Genomic DNA, 9,802 nt, shown 5'->3' with positions numbered 1-9,802 from the left:
ATGGGTAAGAGAAAGGAGGATTCCTTCATTTTTCCTGTTGCCTGTTGGTCAAAGATCATTCCATTAGGGGCTAACTCCTCCTTGCTTGTGGTTTATATTCTCCTCATCTGACACCTAGGATGCCTCATATAAAATCCTATTCAGTACTCTGCAGTGTAACATTTCACTACTGTCTGAAAACAGAAAGGCTACTCAGCACGGAAGGGTTACTACCAGAGAGAAATAAAATAAGCATTTGAGGAAATATGAAAAGGCACAGAAGGATATTTTCTTAATAGAGGATCCCTGATAATGCCTGTTCAATGAAACTTCAGAATTGCTATGAACCAGTGACTACTGTATGTTTCCCATTCTTCTTTCTGAAGTGAATGAAAATTTATTGCTCTTTTTCTGTTCTGGTTTCACCAATGTATACAGGGTTATTAAACACAGATAGCTTGTTTTTCAGTTCTTAATTCCCTGAACAAGAGGACACACATCTGAACTAGTTGTAAATACCACCTTTCATCACATGCATGTGCTGGACTTTGGGATACCTCCTTGGAGAGGAGTTGAAAGACAACCAAATATGTAGTGACTAGAATACTGAATCGTGGAAGGTATTACAAATAGTCACTAATATTATTCACTAATGTCTGAACTCATTTACATGTGGGTTCAGGAAGAATTCTAATTCCCCACCCACTTGAAAGTTCGGCATGATCGGGTCAATAGTTCTGGCCAAGCAAATGTGAGTAGAAGTGGTGAGTATATTTTTCAAACTAGAACATTAAATAGGCCAGTGCTTTTCCATCTTCAGCCACAGAGATTGCAACCAAGGAAGCACATGGTGAGAGAGTGATGTCATAGTTCTGTTGAGCGTCTGTTATCCTGTTTCCTAGAATGGCTACAATGAGTATAGGTCTCTGGCCTAACTCAATGAACATACGGTATGAGAAAAAAAAATGAACTTTGTTTTTCAGCCACTGAGAGTTTGGGGTTGTTAGTTTAGGTTCTTCTAACTGATTGAGGTTGTTACCTGGCCTCTCCTGACTGATACAACTCCATTCTGCCATGATGACTCAGGTTAGATTTTTTTGACTACTTTAATGGAAACTCTAAAACAGTTTTAATTTGCATTAGGGAAAGGGTTGTTTTGCTGCTCTCAATTATAATTGACCAAACTTTTACTTATAAAATAAGTGTCTTCTCTGGTAAGAAGAAAAAATAGGGTGTTGCTTTTAGCTTGGGCGTGTTTACTCATCTAATTGCTAATTGTATTGAGTGCGATATTTGTACTATAGTACCATAGCTCAAATGCAAAATAGTGATTTTAAGAGGTGAAGTTGCTACACTGTCTCTTATCCCATTGACTTGCTTACAGAAATAAGTATTCTGTCCCCAGATTTTTCAGACTATTTGTTCCACACTAATCGCTTCGAAACACGACTTCTGAAAGTAATTTACTTAAACCATAAATCCTCACTACTGCTTTCCATGTGGCTACATGGCATCTGAGATAGCCATGGTGTGTTTCTGGAGGACACACTCTATTACCTGGCAAGGGTAAGCAGGGTGTTCTTATTTCTTTGATCCTGAGCACTTGCAGACCTTTAGTCTCTTCATGCCACTCTGACTCTGCTCTGCTGCCTGTACACAAATCTTGGATGTCTCCCCAATCATTAATCAAATGGATTTTTCAATGGTATATAGGGCTTTGATTTCCTGCCCCAGAGCAGGTTGGAGTTTCTGATCATGTTATTATTTCCTTTAAATTCTCAGATGTATCCAATGGGAGAAAAGTAAAAAGAATGACCAGAAGCTTGTGAAAGTTTGGCCCATCAAGCAAAGCGATGTGGATGCAATCTCCCATTCTACTTTCCTTACTACTTTGAAAGCAGTTTGTTTCTGATTGATTTTTCTTCATAAAGGAGCACATTGTTTTAGTTTAAACTGGATTTCATAGGGAAATACAAACAAATTATACCTAGCAAAAAATGCAACTGCTGTGTATCAGTACCAGCCCGAGAAGTTTCTTAGAGACAACATGTGCTCCTGATTTCTTTCATCTTGGGGTATACAAAAATAGAATTGACAGTATGCCTCACACTCTCTGAAAATTCCTCCCTCAAGTCACATACTATATTTTGTTTTTGGAAGTGAAAGAAGAAAAATATATTGAGAAAAAAAAGGGATATTCTGACAATAGGGAAAAAGAAGGAGCCAAAGGAATTCCAAGGTGGATCATTCCCATGAAGAAGTAGGGAGATGGGATTAAAATTACTATGGTAAAATAAGGATCCTGGAGTTCCTGAATCTTCATTCTCTGCATTGAATTGATTAATGCTGCAAAGAGTTGGTCTGTGCTTTCAATGTAAGATACTGTGGAGTAAATATTCCATTTCATGATGAAATTTAAAATAGAAATATTGTATATGTTATTCAGGTATGGCCAGAAAGGCTAGCTTGGGGCTTAGTTCTCAGGCAGAAATATATTTTTTGAGAGTTTAGTGAAAGTTTTTCTCCTTATTAGAGTTGACCCACATCCACCAAGCCCATAAATGAATGTGCTTGTATAAAGTGCTCATTTATTGATCTCATATGGGAAATAAAAGAAGTGGGAAATTCTTGAGCCAACATATCCTGCACAATCTCTCTCTGTAATCATAACTATATAAGATGTAATATCATATATCATGAGCATAAAATTAAAAGATGGATTTGTTATTCAATGGCTAAAATTGAAGGTAGAATCCACCTTGTCAAAAGGGATATTTTCAAGATTACAGCTGCAATACTCAAAAAAGAGTTTTGCCTAATGTATTCAATCTCTTGTATAGCAGAGAAATGGGCACTGGCATTTTTGCATCTCTGCAATTCTCCCCCTGCCTTCCAGTCTTTCAAAACTGTCCACTCACCTTCAGAATTGCATACTCTTCTGACTTGGTTATGATTCTGAAAGTCACTTACACCTCTTTAAAGTACGTTTTTATTATTTACTTTTTGGTATATCCTATTTGAATTGTCAATATTATTTACTTTATTTACAAATTTGAGGAGTTCCCTCTGTTTATTTCCCCATTACTGATAGAGAGGTCTTTGGTATTTGGAGATACTAATTCTCTACTCCTGATAGCTCTTTACATGTCAAGGGATGTTAATTAGTTTAACACTTCTGGCTTCTCTTTGTTCCATCAACTCTTTCATTTCAGGTGAATGACTTATCACTTAGCAGTTTTTAAATCTGGGATAAGTATACTGAGTGTGCTCAATTTTGGGGACTAAGCTGCTATAATTTAGATTTTATAAGTAATGAAATGATTTTTTCATATCTGCATTACTATTTGTTCTTTTTCCTAACTTATTCAGGACAGGAGAGAGAAAGGGAAGTATTATTGGCCCACTTTGAAAACCTCAAACATTTGCACTGTGAGATTGGGAAATAATGTTTTGACGGTATAGAAAGAAAGCTCGAGTGAGTTTTAGTCCTAAGTTTCCTAAAAATTTAAGATGTAACTTTGGGAAACACTTTCTTTTTCTGTATTAGTCTTTCTATTGTAACATGAAGTAGATTAGGGTGCATGGTTTCTAAGAAGCAAATAGCCCATGAATAATGTGTGGTTTTTCATAGATTGATCGATTTAAGTAACTGAGGTATAGTGGTATATCCATTGACTTAGGTAGTATATTGGGGAACTATTTTTTTTCCAGGCCAAGTTAAATGGCCATCCCATGTCCTTCCTTATAAGTTTATTTGTAACTGATGTCTTCCATTCCTTAGCTACTGTAAAAACTCCTTAGACTTCATATGTTGTGTGTTGATTTTCTTTACATATTTTAATCCATGGCCTTCCAATTACGTGACTTCTCACCCAATAATATTTCCTCTACCCTACTGTGTCACATTCTTGACTATGTCATCAGCAGGAAATACGCAATTGTTGATATCTGGTTATTTCCACCCGATCTTACGGCCTAGTGCTGCACATCTCCCACTCTAACATTTTCTTGAACTTATTGAGGATCGCAAACTTTACTCATAAAACCTTTTATTCTATTATTCCTCTCATGTTTTTGCCACCCTCTTTACCTGGCTTAGGTTCCCCAGTCCATCATATTTATCACCTCATTGTAAATATCCTTAAGTCCATGGGAAACAAACAAAAAAATCTCCTGACAAATTCTAACCCTGGTTAAACCCATAAAGACTGGTCCCAATTTAAATTCATCACCAAAAATTGAATGTGGTAACAATATGGCTTGGAAATATCATTTCACTTCTCTAGGAGGTTTGTTTTCCTATAATCTTAAACCATCCATGTTTTGTCTCATTCTTCCAACTACTTAAAACCCATCCTTTGCCCTCTACTCTCAGCTAATTCAGGAGTTGTCTCATCTTCACACTGCTGGATGTCCGTCCACCTGATGTTCATCTTCACTCTTCCTATCTAGTTCCCCTCCTTTTCAAGTGAATAAGCTGGAACACCTTCTGGTGTTTGGATGCCCATCCCACATTTTTAAAGACTTTGTTTTTTTCAAGTATTCCTTTTTCTCTTCTGCATATTGAATATACACCTCTGTATATATCAGTCCATAGGCTTGCCATAAGGTTTCCAAGTTAGAAACCACAACTGAAACAATAACAAGAAGACTTCTTAGTCCCAGCATTTCCTTTAAGCTATGATCTACTTCTCAGCTTTCTTCACAGTAATAACTTTTTGAAAATTATCTATGGATGTTATTTCCACCTTCTCCCCATTATAGCCCCAATATTCAATCAAACACAATTTTTTCAAGTCTCTTACGTATCAAAACTATTACTGAAATTTTTGCCTCTTACTGTCATTTCATTCCAAACTGTCATCAACTTTCACCTAAATATAAGAAAAGGCTTCTAAAAATTTTCCCCACATATTAATTTGTGCTTTTATGATTATCTACCAGATAGCTAGAATAATGTACTTTTTAAATAAAAGCTTGATCACATTACTCTCTAATTTAGTTACTTTTAGAGTCTTCCGACTACAGTAAGAATAAAATCTCATAGTTTTACATGTAATTATTAAAACTCATGCAATTAATACATGCATAACCTGCCTACCATTTCTGCCTTATCTCATGCAGTTTGCACTTCCGCTTTTTATGCTACATCCATCCTGACCTTTTATCTGTTCCTAAGACCTGCCAAAATGCTTTAGGATTCTAGGCTTTCACATAGGCTCTGGTTTCTACTTTGGAAAGTTTTTCCCTTGCTTAGTCTTATTTATGCTTCTTATCTTGCCATAAATGCCAATGCTGCAAGGAAGTCTTCTGTGAAAACTCAGACTTAGGTCCCTGGTACACCACTCTGTTTTTTTCCTTTAATACATGATATAAGAATTGCAAGTTAATATTTACTTGATAATTATGTTATCAGTTTCTAACTTATTCATCAGACTACAAGCTTTATATAAAAAGGGATTACATTTGAACTGTAGATGTCTGTTTCCCATCTCATTGAAATCAGTTCATCCTCATTAATTATTTATTGAATAAAAAATTAGTAAATATGAGGGGAAAGAAGACAAAAAATCTTTCATTTATGAGGCATCTCTCATATGCATGGTACTTTGCTTGACATCTTTTCTAGATGAAGAAACTAAGATTCAGCACACCTGACACACCTGATGAAAATTGTATGATACCTAACAGAAGGATTTGAACTCAGATAGTTCTGGCTGCAAAGGTAACCGCCAAGGCTGGTGAAACCTCAGTCCCTCCCAGAACCTGTTTGTTTAGACTGTGTCTTATTATTGATCTCCAAAAGGCATCTTATGCAGTAACTATATATATTTCTGCTCCATACCTGCTGTAGGTAGTCCCTTTTAAAATTTGTTTTGTTCCCAGTCTCTGATACTCTGGAAGTATCAGTCATTTCTTGATCTGAACCTAGATACTTGACTTCAGCTCATTTCCACTGACTTTCCCACAAATGTTATATACTTAATAATCATGTTAGTTTACTTCCTTCCCTCAACAAATACTCATAAGCCATTATTTGGTAAAGATATTCTGTTTTTTTTTTTCAGACATCAAGATCTCCAGAATGCAACATCACATAAGAGAGCAATACTGGATCTCCTTATGGTCAGTCCATTTCTTTGTTTGCCCCATCCAACCTTACAGAGAGTGCAAGAGTTAAAGTTGCGATAGTCTAGAGTGGAAAATGGCACAGATAATAAAAGAGTCAGCAGAAATAGCTTCCTCTCCTGCTGCTTCTGCTGCAGGGCATTTAGGAATATTACAAACTGTGACTATATAGACATTTATGTGCCCTTATAAAAACATCACATGTAAATGTTTTTCTGGAAGGCTGGGAGGGCTGAATCAATGTATGGTCATTTTTCCCCTTGTCAGAAGCAATAGAATTTTTATTGGCATAATTTCCATTACTCAGCACTGACTATGGTATCTTTGATCAAACTAATTAGAAATAGTTACACTTTGCACCATGAGATAGATCAAATTTATTTGAAAAATTATGTATGTGCACACATAGAAAAGAAATAGGGATATTAAATATGAAGATATGACATTTATGCCACTGGTTGGAGTGAGGAGGCATTCTAATTAGGTAGTGAATATTCTTAAAGTATAGATTTTTTCCTGCGTGTGCACTATTCAGCTAAAACTACAATTACTAATAAAATTTGAATGCATAAAAAAGGGCAAAGATATTTTTCTGATCATGAAGTCGATCTATATTTATTGGTCAACTGCTATGTGTCTTTGCCAGATAACGATGATGAGGAAAATGACTTTCAGGCATTGAGAAGTCTTTTAAAATGCTGGGTGGACAGAAATTACTCTAATTAGTGTGCATGCAAAATAGAATGTTACAACTTCCTCAAGTGTATGTTAAACAAGGAAAGAACTGATGGGGTTGTTCAGAGATATAATGGAACCTTGTGGTTGGGAGATGTGTCCATGGAGGAGCAGAGACTCAAGTGGTTTTGAAAAGATAATATGGAGAAAGGAAATAGCAGAATGTATGTCAGGCAGAGAATGGGATAAGAACTGAAGTTTTACTTCAGATACATGGAGAACTGAAGTTTTACTTCAGATAATATGGAGAAAGGAAATTGCAGAATGTAAGTCAGGCAGAGAATGGGTTAAGAACTGAAGTTTTACTTTTTGCTCCCAAGGATTTAAATCATCAAAGATGAAGAGACTCAGACCCCAGTGATGAATATGCAGTTTGTCCAGTGAATAATATTGATACTTCTTGCTAAGGGTTGAATGGGATGAATAAACCAGAAGCACTGAGTGTTGCTATGGGGGTTTCTCTTGCTGTTATTATGATTTAAGCATGTTTTACGTAGAAGCAACTTCAGAGTTCACGACAAAAGGGGCTTTCCGAGTTTTTGCAGTTGTGCAAAGTGGTTATATGACTTATTTAACCTGTACATCCCCAGCCCTTACCAGACTGTGATACAGAAAGGGTTGTATTATTGTAATAACCCACCCTTTTGACAAGTCTCAGGTTTTGCTGAACTATCTCCATCACTTAGGGCTAAGCTGCACAGCTAGCTACGTGGCAGCCCTCGCTGCTCTCATAGACTACCCCTTGGAGTACATCCCTGTGGTTGCGGCATTTAGCGCTTTCTGATTATAGGGATCCCCAACTTTGAATTCTGGCAAAGCTCCACTTAGCAGCAGTATCCAAATCTTGGTAATTCATACTTGTTGGCCCCCTTGGTAAAAATTACATTTAACTAAAAATAATGCCTGTTCTTTCTAGGACTCCACAGGTAGAAAACAATCATATAAATTAGAGGTCTTCCTGCCTCACTTGATGGACATTCAAATATAAGGTAGTAGCTGCAATTCCACTTAAAGATGGAAGAAAGCATCCCTCCTACATATAGAAACTTTAGAAAAGACAATTTTAAAATATACCAGTTCTGAAATATCTCAATTAAGTTTAACAAGATTCTTTACGCTGTTGGGAAAAATCAAATATATTTTTCAGTCATTTGAAACATAAGGTTTTGTCATATGATATGACTGCTCTTTAAAAAGCCTTTTATCTTTTGTCCTTGTTCTCTGCTCCCACTTCTTTGTTCAGAAACATGCAATGACTAACTCAAAGTAAAATATCTCTTTGAGAAAAATTAATCAACTTTGGCAAGAGTCAGCAGAGGTCAAGAGATTTGTTATTTGAATTGCTGGCAATTAAACAACCACACACAGTCACATAACAAAAGGCACAGTTATAACTTTTAACCAATGGAAAGCAATCAGGTAGGAGGCAAAAAGTATAATATAACACTTCTTATTGCATTCTCCTTTCCTTGTACTCTCATATCATTTTATGTTTCTTTAAACTAAAATATTTAGACCACAAAAGTCTTGCTAAAAGTGAGAATGTGAGGGACGCACAAATATATGTATGCATATATGCAAACACACACACACATAGGCTCATCAATTTGTATATTAACTGAGTGTAAACTTCTTGGAGGAGACAGGTTTTAAAAGATTCTTTCTTGGAGAAAGTGTGTTTGTCTAAGAGACAAGGTTAGGTATGTGAGATCACCTGGGCTACTCAGGTCAGGAATTTCCATGTATTATTGTTGCTTGTTTAGGTTCTTGCTCAGATGACAAATACATACGTTTGGGTGGACTCTCTGGTATTAGTTGCTCTGAAATACGATGACTTCTGAAAGATTGCTATGGACTGCTGCATTTTTAAACAATATTAACACTTAAAAATTGACTAAGAAATTATTGACTGAAAGGCACCAGCAAAGTAGTATAGTTTCCATGAAGGCCATGTCTATTTGATATAATTAGATATTGTAATAAGCATTAAAACTGGTTCATAAGAAAAATCTTTGATGATAAAAGTTTTCTTTGAGGCATTATTTACTATGGACTATTTATATAGCCAGTCATATCACTAAATGAAAAAAACAAGTCTACTTTGGGACTTGAAACAACTAAATATGTATAATCAGGGTAATGAAAATAAGATAGAGAAGGAAGGATGTCCCGATATTTTTAAAAATGAGCAATGAGGAATGAATTTTAAGTGGATCTCAAATGCACATAATTGGAATAACTATAATCTTTGGTTTATAACACAATCTAATCTAATCATTTGTCCATTAATACCCCTTTCTGCATTTATATTTTACAATTCAATGTAATATAATTTAATAATGAGATTTAGAGATCTACTGTCTTAGTCTATTTTATGCTAAATACCACAGACTGGATAATTTATAATAAACAGAAATTTATTTGGCTCACAGTTCTGGAGTCTGGGAAGTCCAAGATCAAGGGGCTGACATCTGGCAAGGGCCTTCTTGCTGCATCACCTTGTGGCAGATGAGCAAAGAGAGGGCAAGAGAGATAGAAAAAAGGGGACCAAACTTGTCCCTTTGTAATGAACTCACTCCTGCAAGAACTAAATGAATCCACTTATGCAAGCAGAGCCCTCATGGCCTAATCACCTCTTAAAGCCCCCACCTTTTAATTCTGTTACAATAGTAATTAAATTTCAAAATGAATTTAGGAGGGGACAGACAAACATTCAAACTATAGCATCCACCATTCTACAAGTAACCTAAAACACTTTTTTTCCCTTTAGTTTCATTGCAGCTATATAATCCCATTCACAAACACACACACACACACACACACACACACACACACACACACACACTTTTTTTGGGACTTAGTTTTTCCACTCAGCATTACACTGTTAAGATGTATCCACATTGTTATGTGTCATTGTTTTAGACAGCTTAGGCACTGCATAATATTCTACTATATGAAT

The 9,802-nt window shown here is 35.8% G+C and overlaps 1 annotated feature.

Moving 5' to 3' along the window:
- Positions 2,884–3,385: an enhancer, noted in NCBI's record as "NANOG hESC enhancer chr2:84091690-84092191 (GRCh37/hg19 assembly coordinates)". NCBI's record gives its function as "activates a minimal SCP1, AML or CMV promoter by ChIP-STARR-seq in primed H9 embryonic stem cells {active_cell/tissue: H9 hESC(primed)}" and the evidence as "EXISTENCE:reporter gene assay evidence [ECO:0000049][PMID:30033119]".

Source organism: Homo sapiens, chromosome 2, assembly GCF_000001405.40.
Source record: "Homo sapiens chromosome 2, GRCh38.p14 Primary Assembly".
Taxonomy (NCBI): domain Eukaryota; kingdom Metazoa; phylum Chordata; class Mammalia; order Primates; family Hominidae; genus Homo; species Homo sapiens.
Note: the sequence above shows the minus strand (reverse complement) of the source record. Positions and strands in the feature narration are given on the sequence as shown.